Here is a 13,500-nt window from a genome sequence, read left to right on the forward strand (position 1 = left end):
TTGCAATTAAAAAATATAAACTGTTAACTTCTTATCAAAAACACTTTACTGCTGTTCTTTATATTAAAATAAAGTTAGACGTATGCTGAATCTCATAAAAACTGGTTGGATACAGAATAAAAAAAGTTGATTTATCTCATGCAAATCAAAAACCCCAAAACAGTTTACAACCTATTTTGTAACTCAGAGGATGTTAAACAGGCATCACTCATGTTTTGAGGCATCTTGAGGCATTATTCAGTATATATGATTTTGCCAACTTGGATGGCCTTTGCATTTTCTCAAATTTGCTTGTGTGTTTTTTTTGAGACGGAGTCCCGCACTTTTGGCTGGGCTGGAGTGCAGTGGCGCGATCTCAGCTCACTGCAAGCTCTGCCTCCCGGGTTCAAGCAATTCTCCTGCCTCAGCCTCCTGAGTAGCTGGGATTACAGGCGCATGCCACCATACCTGTCTAATTTTTTGTATTTTTGTTTTTTTTTTTTTTTTGAGATGGAGTCTCGCTCTGTTGCCCAGGCTGGAGAGCAGTGGTACGATCGGCTTACTGCAAGCTCCGCCTCCCGGGTTCACGCCATTCTTCTGCCTCAGCCTCCTGAGTAGCTGGGACTACAGGTGCCCACCACCAAGCCCAGCTAATTTTTTGTGTGTTTAGTAGAGACGGGGTTTCACCATGTTAGCTAGAATGCTCTTGATCTCCTGACTTCGTGATCCGCCCACCTCGGCCTCCCGAAGATTTTTTGTATTTTTAATAGAGACGAGGTTTCACCATGCTGGCCAGGCTGATCTTGAACTCCTGACCTCGTGATCCGCCTGCCTTGGCCTCCCAAAGTGCTGGGATTACAGGTGCAAGCCACCGTGCCCGGCCATGTGTGTGTTTTTAAAACTATTTTTTAAATTCCATTTCTTGTCTGGGCACGGTGGCTCACGCCTGTAATCCCAGCTTTGGGAAGCCGAGATGGGTGGATCACGAGGTCAGGAGTTCGAGACCAGCCTGACCAACATGGTGAAACCTCATCTTTAATAAAAATACAAAAATTAGCTGGGCATGGTGGCAGGCACCTGTAATCCCAGCTACTCAGGAGGCTGAGGCAGGAGAATAGCTTGAACCCGGGAGGCGGAGGTTGCAATGAGCCGTGATCGCACCATTGCACTGCAGCCTGGGTGGCAGAGCAAGACTCCGTCTTGGAAAATAAAAAAAAAATTTCTTAAAGAATTGGAGCCATCAAAGTTGGCAAGCATTAAGCATGCTAATTAGTTCAACATACTGACCAATTCTCTGAATTATTAGTTCAAAGAAGCATGTGGACAGGGATGAAATTAAATTTGGGAATTTTTCACTCTAGTTGTTTTAGGATACTCAGGTTTGCTTTGATCTGTAAATAACAGATGCTTTTCCATGCATGGTTTAGAGTACATCAAACATGTTCAAAACTTTATCTCAGATACTTAAAATCAAGTTATTTTATTTTCCTGATATACATGCATTTGCTTTATTTTTAAAAATAAACTGTCATAAAATAGTTGTAAGGCCATACATAAAATTTACTTTATTAATTGCTAAAATATATTGCTTATTTAAATAATCAGTTTTAAGAGTAAAAGCTTTGGCAACTATGAAAGCATAGGGAGTATGTGTTCATATGTGAATGTATTGTGTGTGTATGCATAGTATACTTTTAGGTATCTAAGTAGTGAAGATAAATGTCTGCTTTACTTTTATTAGCTAAATATTATATTTAACTTAATAATTATTTAATCACTAGAATGAAAATAAAACTTTGAACAGAAGCATTGTTTTTAACTTAAGTTTCATAGTTTACTACCTCTTTTGGCTCTTAACCATAATTTTAGTACTGGGAAGAATTTTTTTAACGAATGGCATAAAATGGATTGCAGATGGGATGAGAAAGGTGCAGGACCAAGAGGGTAAGAACTGAGAAGTCCTCGATTCTGTTTTCCACACTCCCTGAACAGAAGGCTTGACTGGCGTAGGCCCTGCTCCAACCTAGTGTAGGCTGCAGGAAGCCATGTGACAAGAGTCCAGATTGTTGTCCAATGGTGGAAGCCTCCCATTTATAAGTAATAATAAGAATAAGAATGTTTGGCATTGAGCGAGGTGCGGTGGCTCACGCCTGTAATCCCAGCACTTTGGGAGGCTGAGGCGGGTGGATCACCTGAGGTCAGAAGTTCAAAACCAGCCAGGCCAACATGATGAAACCCCTATCTCTATTAAAAATACAAAAAAAATAGCTGGGCATGGTTGTGGGTGCCTGTAATCCCAGCTATTCGGGAGGCTGAGGCAGGAGAATTGCTTGAATCCGGGAGGTGGAGGTTGCAGTGAGCCAAGATCGTGCCATTGCCCTCCAGCCTGGTCAACAACAGTGAAACTCCATCTCAAAAAAAAAAAAAAAAAAAAGAATGTCTGGCATTAATTCTAGAACTGAGATGCTCTTTTGCTTAGTAAAGTCATTTTTTCTTTTTGATCATTAAGCTACATGAGGTTTTGTAATGCATTCCATTTGTGGCTGTTCTTTATCAAAATATTACTATAACAGTAGCTTCCTTAGTACATCAGACATCAGGACACTGAAGGTCTAGTTGCAGTTTTGCCACTCGCTATCTTGTGCCTTTTGAAGTTGTTTAATCTCTCTGGGTATTGATTTCCTTTTTTAAAAAATAGTTGGTAAACTATGACCTGTGGGCCTAATCCAGATCACAGCCTGTTTTTGTAATAAAGCTTTATTGGCATGCAGCCACTTTCTTTCATTTATGTATTGTCTGTCTGCTTTCACACAACAGTGGCAGAGTTGAGTAGTTGTAACAGAGACTGTATGGACCATAAAGCCTAAGCTATTTATTATCTGACTCTTTACAGAAAAAGTTTTCTGAATCCTAGACTAGATCATCTTTGAGGGCTGTGCTGTGCCTTAGATTAGATTTCCTTTTTGTCAATTTCTCTTTAATTCTAAGTTCTCAAAAGATGTCTGTCTTTAAAGGATATAGCATATCATTTCCTCGTTATCAAATTTGCAAATTATGAAAAGAAGGAAAATACTGAGTAGATCATTGGTTCCCAAAGTACAGTCCCTCCACGAATAGCAGCTGCATTCCCTAGGAACTTGCTAGAAATGCAGAATCTAAGTCCCCACTTGAGATCTTCTGAATCAGAAACTTGGGGTGAGGCCCAGAATTTGTGTTATACACCCTCTGCATGATTCTGATGCATTCTGAAGTGTGAGAACCACTGGACTAGGTGATACAAAGTTCAGTTAACAGATTTTCTTCTGTTTTGAAAAAAAGAAGAGCTTAAATACCAAAACCATTTGATAGGTATATCAGGAGGAAAATGAAATGTTGGATATTATTACTAAGCTGGTGAAATTAATATTTTCTCTAGTAAAACTCCTTGTCATAAATTGTGGATAAGTTTTAATATAATGAGAAATTTCTGAGAGGTACATCTGTGTCACTTTCAGCATATTTTTAATGGACAGAAAAGTAAATATGATTTATTTCTTTGTGGGGTTTTCTTTTTTTGGTGGGAGATCACTTTGAATTATTTCAAAACTGATGATTTGTAATAAACAGTTTTCAGAATAAAAGAATTACATTAAGAATTAATTTGCTTGTGAAGAAAGTGTCTTAAGAAAAGAGCATTTAAGGGGCACAGCAGCCTCTGCTGTAGCTGGATTTCTTACCCATTTTAAGTGACATCAGTGTTGAATTGACTTTTTCCTCAGTGCTAAAAGCTGCTAGAAATGAGCACCAGTCACACTACTGATCTGTGTTAGGAAAGATCACAAACACAGTACTTTGTAATAAATGTCAGAGGAATAGCAAAATTGTACATGTCAAGAAAGCATTACAGGATGACGTTGCTATTTGGAGAATTGCTTTCATCTTTGAGATATCTCACACCTGCTTCATTTGGCATAGGTTGTTTCTATTTCATGAAAAACAGTCTTTTCCCTCCCCCAGATCCCAAGTTACATAGAAACAGTATGCTAACAAGGGAAAAATTTTAACATAAAAACTCACTTGAAGGTGCCATCTAAAAACTCAGTGTGTAAACTTAGTTAACTAACTTTATTTTGTTGAAAAGGGACCCTTGGTTTGTGTGTGTGTATGTGTGTGTACACATGAATACGTACCTATGTATACATTTGTTACTGTGTGTGTGTTTATATATGTATGTATACAGTTCATTTGATGTGCGTGTATATGCACCCATTTCCATGTATGTATTTAAAAGAATACATACAACAAACTTTTTTTTTGAGGCAAAGTTTCCCTCTGTCACCCAGGCTGGAGTGCAGTGGCACAGTCTCGACTCACTGCAACCTCCGCCTCCTGGGTTCCAAGCGATTCTCATGTCTCAGCCTCCCGAGTAGCTGGGACTACAGATGTGTGCCACCATGCCTGGCTAATTTTTGTGTTAGTAGAGACTGGGTTTTGCTGTGTTGGCCAGGCTGGTCTTGAAGTCCTGGCCTCAAGTGATCTGCTCACCTCAGCCTCCGAAAATGCTGGGATTATAAGTGTGAGCCGATGTGCTTGGCAAACAAACTTTTGTATATATAATCCTTTCATACTAATATTTAACTACTTGTAAAAACTATGTTAACCCCCAGTCACTAACACAGTTCCGTAGTCCATATTTATTATTGCTTCTTTCACTTTTCTCCTTTCTTCATGCATGAAAATATAATGTGATCCAAGGGGGTATGTGTGCATGAGGTGTGTGTTTATAGAGTAACAGTTAAATGTCTCGAAATAAACTGATTTGGATTTTTAGGTTATAGATGTTTTTGTTTTTTATTAAACGTCTTGATTGTTTGACTGTCATGGTTGTTTGTATAACTCCTTGAGAAACTTCCACATGCGGGTAGTTTTTGAAAAAGAAAATATTTATTTGCTTCAGTTTTTCAGGGGATGGTATCATACTGCTTTTTCACATTTTATGGGTGACATATTTGGCTATCTCTGGGCAAAAATCCAGTTAAAAATAATAGTATTTAATATTTAATAAACTACCAGGCTTTTGAGCCATCTGGAACTTTATTTTCTTTGCACGCAGCATCTGAGTTTCAGCTGTTAGCGTTTCTCCTTTGCTCTGGGAAGGGTCAATTGCTTTTAAAGTCTTTGAAGCTTGCTGTGTCAGCCCTTTTCATATTTTCAAAATGCCCGTGTAAAAGGGTTTTTCATCCATTCATGCTGATAAGTCTTTTGAACTTGAGGTTTGAACCAAGCTAATCAAATTTAATTATAGCTTAAATCCCGTTACAGTGAACTCCAGTGGACTTCTAGGCTAGGGTTTTTTTGTTTTGTTTTTTTTTTTTTTTTTGGTGTTATACTGGAATTTAGCCATTACCAATATTACTTGAAGTGAGCAGGCCATTGACTGCAGTTTGGGAGACCTTTTGTAATGGTCAGATTTTAGTTATAGTGACATTGGCAATATGATTTGAACTTTATTCTTTTCCAAAGGAAATAATTGAATTAGCCACAAGTAAAATTTCTTGTTCTTTGCATATATTTCAAATTACCTTTTCCTATTTGTCTTAAACAATTTTGAACAATTAAAATCTTAAAAGTACTTTCTTAAAGAGTCCTTTGGTGGTGGTGTCGCTGATGCTCGTTTTTTGTTTTTAAGATCCATAACAGAATAAGGATTTATATACATCCTCCTAGGGATAATGTCATGGTTTCTGCATATTTGCATAGCATTTTGAGAGAGACTTTTTCCTTTTTGCTTCATGAAAAAAAGTTTGAGCAGTATAATTTTCTAGAAAGAAGGAAATATAAATATTTTAGACTGTAGCATATACTAAAGGGAGGTGGACTAGTACTGATATTTTTAGTGCTTTCTTCAAAATGATTGCTAACACGTGTATTATATTTTAGTATCTTGTTGCATTCACTTGTTAATCTGTATTTATGCTTCTGTATATGCAGAGTTTTTTGTTTTTTCCAACACAATTTAAAATTCTACTTAAAAATTACTTGTTTGGATTTCTAAGCAGATTTGGGAATTACGGCATTGAAAATACTTTGTTGCTTTTTATGTCTCAATAAAGTCTATGCATTTTTATAATATTGGACCAGTGTTTGACCTGCCAGAATAAAATGATGATAGAACTCATTGTGTCCTCAAATAATTGGATTCTGAAATGGAAGATAGGGTTCATGAAGAATAAAAAATAGTAGATCTCATGTAAAGGTGAAAATTTACTTTTCTTTTTAGTATTCAACTCAAAATTGCCAGTTTCCCTGAATTTATTATAGCAATTTCTCTTGTTTTAAAATGAAGTGAAATGTGAAGTTAATTTACATACTAGCTGCTTTGAAGTGTAATTTTGCTTGCCAAGTTGTTACAGATTTTTATACAGACTTTTTAAGGAATTTAGTAATAATGCTGCCACAGTGTGTAGGACAAGTTCATGCCTTGCATCTTTGATGGGCGTTAGAATTGTTTGCCACAGTTCCCACTCTGGTTGGAGGGCACAACCAATTCGTCTATGCCTTTTGACTTCCATGCCGGAGAGTGTGACTTCTGCATCTGTTTGTTAGTATTTTTATGTAAGCAGAAGCCAAGAATGTCATTAGAAAGTAAAACTTTAACAAGAGGGACTGAATCCTACTAGGCCAACATAATTTATAGAGAGCAGGGGCTAACATTTTCATTTGGGAAAAATGCTTCCATTTCTATACGTGTTTAGACGGAGTACCTTAAGCATTGTTTTAGTCTTTTCCTATCTACATGTTACCATTCAGAACTTAGGTGGATGAAACACATTTTATATGTAGTTACAGAGAGATACAGAATTAAAAGCCTACAGATACAAGCATTAGAATTGTGACGGGGGTAATTAGAAACATGGAGTCTGAAGGTAGCCTATCTGGATTCAAATCCCAGCTCCAGTACTTAGCCATGTGGCCTTAGGCAAGTTATTTAAACTGACTTATTTTGTTCCTCTGTAAGATGAGAGTAACAATAATACCAACCTCATAAGGTTGTTGGGAAAATTACATGTGTTCCTGCATATGAAGTGCTTAGGACAGTGCCTGAAATACAGTCCTATATAAATGTTATAATTTATGATTATTGTTGTGATGATAATGATGATAATATCACTAGCAGCTCCTCTGAAACTTGTTGGCCTCATCCAAGGCCTATCACTTAGCTTTATCCCCAGTGTCTCTAATACTCCATCTGTTGTGCAGAAGTATATCCTGAACCTTCCTCCCTCTGAATTTGCCCACTTGGCACCTCTTCATTTGCTCTTACAATCTCTAGACCATAAATTTCAAAGACGTGGCCCAAAATGTTGGACTCAAGGTTTTTGCAAACTACAAGCTAACATGTTAAAATTGAGTGGTTTCATATACAACTCCAGTTATCCAAGTTTTCTTGGACAATCTGGGTATCTGGTCATAGTGGGCCTACATTTCTGCATGGCAGTAATTGTCTAGAACAGAGTAGCGGCTGCTTGTTTTGACAGAAACTGCTCTCCATGTCATCAGAGTCCCTGCCACTTCCTGTTGTTTTGACACTTTTCTCATTCTAGTCATCGATATCATTTTTTTGGGTCATGTAATACTTATTTGCTGCCAGCAGTTTAGAGTAAGCAGCGGTTCTCCACCATGTGTTCTGCACACTCATACTCCACTAGGCCTTTGCTGATAGGTCACCAGATTTTGATTCATGTGTAAAACATACATTAGTTAAAATCAAGTATGCATAATAGTGTTTTGGCTTTGTCTGTCAGAAGCAACATTGAGCTGGGCAGGTGTGCTTGTGTATTAGAGCTAGATACAACTTGGTGAAAAGGTTAGCCCATATTTAAGTTCAAACCAAAGAACAGTGATTAAAGCCCAAGCCAAAGAAAATTGAGATATGGGAGAGCTTTGCCTTCTGAGTGTGTAAGGGAGCACAGGTGGTGCACGCCATGTGTTCAGTGTCTCAGTGCTAGGGAGTCAGCAGGGATAAAGAAAGATAACTGATGCCTTAGAGCAGAGTTTAAGGGGCTGTGGATTGTGTCCATGGGGACCCCCCTTTGCATTCCAGGCTGTGTAGCAGCATCCCTGGCCTCTACCCACTAGATACCAGGAGCACCTCCCGTGAGTAGTGACAATTTAAATGTCCCCTGGGAGGTTGAAAGATGCAGAAGACATTATAATATAGTAGTTATCATGGTCTAGTCACTGTTGACATCTTTAATACTGCTTTTAGTCTTTGAATCCTTTGAAATATTGGCTTTGTACTCCACTTTTCTAAAGCATTCAGTATTTATTTTATGGCCATTTTACTACAGTATCAGAGAGGAGATATACTTCTCTCCCCCTCTCTAGTCAAGCACAACTGCAAGTATCTTTAAGGCGCAGCCACCTTTAAGGAAAGACTTCTGGGAACAGCTAACTGTGTTGGAGGAACTGGGCTGTGGCTCGTCCTCTGCTGCTCGTTAGCCCTGTGAACCTGGGGAGGCTAGCTCCCTCTCTTAGTCTTGGCTAAAAGTGAGGTGGCTGGATCAGATAATCAGCAAGATGCCTTCCAGGTAAGATTAGGCTGTAAGTCAGAAAATATTGTAGGACTTCTGAAACTTTAACTGCCAGTCAAGATCACTTAACTAGAATGTCCCACATTTTTCACTCCATTGAAATGAGTAACTTCAAGTGTCATGTAACATCAGGATCACTTAGGGGAATGTCTAGAGGTGCAGTAGATGATTGTTAGCTTTCTGTTGCTGTGTAATGAATTACCACAACTTTAGTGGTTTAAGGTGACATATATTGATGATCTCATGGGTCTCTACAGCAGCAGTCTGAGGACCGCGTGGCTGAGTTCTCCATTCACTGTTTCACACAGTGACAGTCAAGGTGTTGCAGGGACTGTGATCTCATCTGAGGCTAGGGTCCTCTTCCAAATGCACAGGGCGGTTGGCAGATGGCATTTCCTTGTGGCAGTATGACTGAGGATCCTGTTTCTTGTTAGCGATTGGATGGTGACCACACTTTACTTCCAGAGGCTGCTCTGAGGTCCTTGCCATGTGGCCCCCTCCATAGGCCCTTTTACAACATGAAATTTTATTTCTTCAGAGCCAGCAGGAGAATCTCTCACACTTCAGATCTTGTTAGGAAGGGGCTGGTTTTTCTAAGAACTCACCTTTGAAGTCAAGCCCATCCACGATAATTTCCCTCTTGATAAACTCAGAACCAACTGATGGGGGAACTTAATTAAATCTGCAGAATCCATTCATATTTCTGATTAAATGTAACTTCGTCACAGGACTTGTCTTTGTCCTGTTCACGGTCCCATCCACACTGGATGGGGGAGGATTATACAGGGCGGGTACATCAGGGAGTGGGAATCTTGGGGGCCTCCCACAATGCCTCTTGATTTAAAAAGATTCTGGAGCATACTTTTTCTTATGTCTCATATCTAAGCTAATATCTTCCCTTTTCTGTTCAGTTTCAGTTTTGTGTTCACATGTCTGTTGTCATATTTTTTCTTCTATTTTTGCAGGAGGAGGATTAGAGTCAAAGGTGTGGGGAGGCTTGTGAGCTTCTGTGAGTTGTTGTGTGTGGCTTGTATACATGCTGTTATACTGGTAAGCTCTGTAACAACCCCTGATTGCTGAACATGCTAACTGGGATATACGCTACATGGTTCACTGGTGCTTTCAGGAAACCATCGAGGTGTCAGGCATTGAGGATTCGTTGTTCACTAATACATTCTTTAAAATGCTTTTAGAATCATTATATCCAGTTTCCTTTCTCTCTGTACATGGGACTGATTAACCACCATGTGGGTGGAAATCTAATTTGTTGCTGGCTCAGAACTTTGCAATTTTCAATACTTTGCAGAATTATCCTGTTTACCAAATGAATTGTGATAAAAATTGATACATTAGTATTAAGAGGATGACTTATAACATGTACTATGATTTATAGGGCCAAAAAGACCTGATAAACTCACAACCATTTTACCCCATAATGTTAAGAAACTCAAAAGATTTTGTCACCAAAAAGTGTATCTTGTGATTTATTTTTTATGACACGGTAGTATCACTTGTTAGAGTTCTGAGATTCTTTATTAGCAACTGACAGTTTTCTAGGAACTGAATTTTTACACTTAGAGCTGCGAAAAGCCAAAAGCATTTCTAAATGATCTCCATCCCATTCCCCTCAAATAATAATGTACACGCTCATTATAGTTTGTTAGTTTCTCATGCCTTTCTTTGGTGTTCTCATGGTTGTGAGAAGTTGGGAGAAGCAGCGTCTAAATTTAGGAAATGGATTTCTTTTCTGTTACTAAGTACATTGCTATAATTTAAAGACAACAGGAGAACATGTCTTTTATCTCAAATGGGTCTGCTATTTTTCTTCTAAGGTGTTTCTCTAAGAGTAACATTATGTAATTTAATCAGTGTTATAAAAAATGGAATTCCTGGTTAGGATTTTAAAAGGTGATGTTAACAGATATCAAATTTTTTATATTAGGGATTGAAGGACTTTTATTTATTTATTTCATTTTAATTTTTAAGCTCCAGGATACATATGTAGGATATGCAGCTTTGTTACATAGGTAAATATGTGCTATGGTGGTTTGCTGCACCTGTCAACCCATCACCTTGGTATTAAGCCCAGCATGCATTAGCCATCTTTCCTAATGCTCCCCTTCCCCCCACCCCACCCTGTGAAAGGCCCCAGAGTGTGTTGTTTCCCTCCCTGTGTCCATGTGTTCTCATTGTTCACTTACAAGTGAGAGCATGTGGTATTTGGTTTGGGTTGATTCCTTGTCTTTGCTATTGTGAATAGTGCTGCAGTGAACATACATGTGCGTGTGTCTTTGTAATATAATGATTTATATTCCTTTGAGCATATACCCTGTAATGGGATTGCTGGGTCAAATGGTATTTCTGGTTCTTGCTCTTTGAGGAATTGCCACCCCATCTTCCACAATGGTTGAACTAATTTACATTTTCACCAATAGCGTAAAAGCATTCCTGTCTTTCCTCAACCTCGCCAGCATCTATTGTTTCTTTCTTTTTTTCTTTTTCTTTTCTTTTTTTTGAGATGGAGTCTCGCTCTGTTGCCTAGGCTGGAGTGCAGTGGCACTAACATGACTCACTTTAACCTCTGCCTGCCAATTTCAAGCAGTTCTCCTGCGTCAGCCTCCCGAGTAGCTGGGACTACAGGTGTGCACCACCATGCCCAGCTAATTTTTTGTTTAGTAGAAACAAGGTTTCACCATGCTGGCCAGGCTGGTTTCAAACTCCTGACCTCGTGATTCACCCACCTTGGCCTCCCAAAGTGCTAGGATTACAGGCGTAAGCCACTGCGCCTGGTCTGTTTCTTAACTTTGTAATAATTGCCATTGTGAATGGCGTGAGACGGTATCTCATTGTGGTTTTGATTTTCATTTCTCTAATCAGTGATGTTGAGCTTTTTTTTCTTATGTTTGTTGGCTGCATGAATGTCTTCTTTTGAGAAGTGTCTTTTCATGTCCTTTGCCCACTTTTTAATAGGGTTGTTTTTCTTTTTCTTGTCTCTCTCTTTTTTCTTTTCTTTTTTAATACTTTAAGTTCTGGGGATACATGTGCACAACGTGCAGGTTTGTTACATAGGTATACATGTGCCATGGTGGTTTGCTGCACCCATCAACCTGTCATCTAGATTTTAAGCCCCACATGCGTTAGGTATTTCTCCTAATGCTATCCATCCCCTTGCCCCCAGCCCCCAACAGGCCCCAGTGTGAGATGTTCCCCTCCCTGGGTCCATGTGTTCTCATTGTTCACCTCCCACTTATGAGCAAGAACATATGGTGTTTGGTTTTCTGTTCCTGTGTTAGTTTGCTGGGAATGATGGTTTTTAGCTTCATCCATGTCCCTGCAAAGGACATGAACTCATACTTTTTTATGGTTGCATAGTATTCCATGGTGTGTATGTGCCACATTTTCTTTATCCAGTCTATCATTGATGGGCATTTGGGTTGGTTCCAAGTCTTTGGTATTGTAAATAGTGCTGCAGTAAACATATGTGTGTGTGTGCCTTTATAGTAGAATGATTTGTAATCCTTTGGGTATATACCCAGTAATGGGATTGGTGGGTCAAATGCTATTTCTGGTTCTAGTTCCTTGAGGAATTGCTGCACTGTCTTCCATAATGGTTAAACTAATTTACACTCCCACCAACAGTGTGAAGGTGTCTGTTTCTCCACATCCTCTCCAGCATCTGTTGTTTCCTGACTCTTTAATGATCGTCATTGTAACTGGAGTGAGATGGTATCTCATTGTGGTTTTGATTTGCGTTTCTCTAATGAGCAGTGATGATGAGCTTTTTTTCATTTGTTTGTTGGCCGCATAAATGTCTTCTTTTGAGAAGTGTCTGTTAATATCCTTTGCCCACTTTCTGATGGGGTCGTTTGTTTTTTCTTGTAAATTTATTTAAGTTCCTTGTAGATTCTGGATATTAACCCTTTGTCAGATGGATAGATTGCAAAATTTTCTCCCATTCTGTAGGTTGCCTGTTCACTCTGATGATAGTTTCTTTTGCTGTGCAGAAGCTCTTTAGTTTAATTAGATCCCATTTGTCAATTTTGGCTGTTGTTGCCGTTGCTTTTGGTGTTTTAATCATGAAGTCTTTGCCCATGCCTACGTCCTGAATGGTATTACCTAGGTTTTCTTCTATGGTTTTTATGGTTTTAGGTCTTACGTTTAAGTCTTACATCTTGAGTTAATTTTTGTATTAGGTATAAGGAAGGGGTCCAGTTTGAGTTTTCTGCATATGGCTAGCCAGTTTTCCCAACACCATTTATTAAATAGGGAATCCTTTCCCCACTGCTTGTTTTTGTCAGGTTTGTCAAAGAGCAGATGGTTGTAGATGTGTGGTGTTATTTCTGAGGCCTCTGTTCTGTTCCATTGGTTTATGTATCTGTTCTGGTACCAGTACCCTGCTGTTTAGGGTTGCTGTAGCCTTGTAGTATAGTTTGAAGTCAGGTAGCATGATGCCTCCAGCTTTGTTCTTTTTGCTTAGGATTGTCTTGGCTATACGGGTCTTCTTTGGTTCCATATGAAATTTAAAGTAGTTTTTTTCTAATTCTGTGAAGAAAGTCAATGGTAGCTTGATGGGGGTAGCATTGAATCTATAAATTACTTTGGGCAGTATGGGCATTTTCATGATATTGATTCTTCCTATCCATGAGCATGGAGTGTTTTTCCATTTGTTTGGGTCCTCTCTTATTTTCTTGAGCAGTAATTTGTAGTTCTCCTTTAAGAGGTCCTTCACATCTCTTGTAAGTTGTATTCCTAGGTATTTTATTCTCTTTGTAGCAGTTGTGAATGGGCGTTCACTCATGATTTGGCTCTCTGATTGTCTGTTAATGGTATGTAGGAATGCTTGTGATTTTTGCGCATTGATTTTGTATCCTGAGACTTTGCTGAAGTTGCTTATCGGCTTAAGGAGATTTGGGGCTGCGATGATGGAGTTTTCAAAATATACAATCTT

At 38.8% G+C, this 13,500-nt stretch overlaps 1 protein-coding gene across 25 annotated transcripts in view; it reads left to right on the forward strand.

Annotated features, from left to right (window-relative positions):
- Window positions 1-13,500, forward strand: part of SLC25A26 (solute carrier family 25 member 26) — a 245,318-nt gene that overhangs the window by 161,326 nt on the left and 70,492 nt on the right. For 4 of the 25 annotated variants that reach the window (NR_028475.1, XR_007095631.1, NR_174576.1 and 1 more), the window contains one exon: window positions 9,518-9,602. The exons of the other annotated variants lie outside the window; for them this stretch is intronic. The gene's annotated coding sequence lies outside the window, so the exon portion shown is untranslated. The remainder of the gene's footprint in view (window positions 1-9,517; window positions 9,603-13,500) is intronic. 25 annotated transcript variants of the gene reach the window in all.

Source organism: Homo sapiens, chromosome 3, assembly GCF_000001405.40.
Source record: "Homo sapiens chromosome 3, GRCh38.p14 Primary Assembly".
NCBI classification, from domain to species: Eukaryota; Metazoa; Chordata; class Mammalia; order Primates; family Hominidae; genus Homo; species Homo sapiens.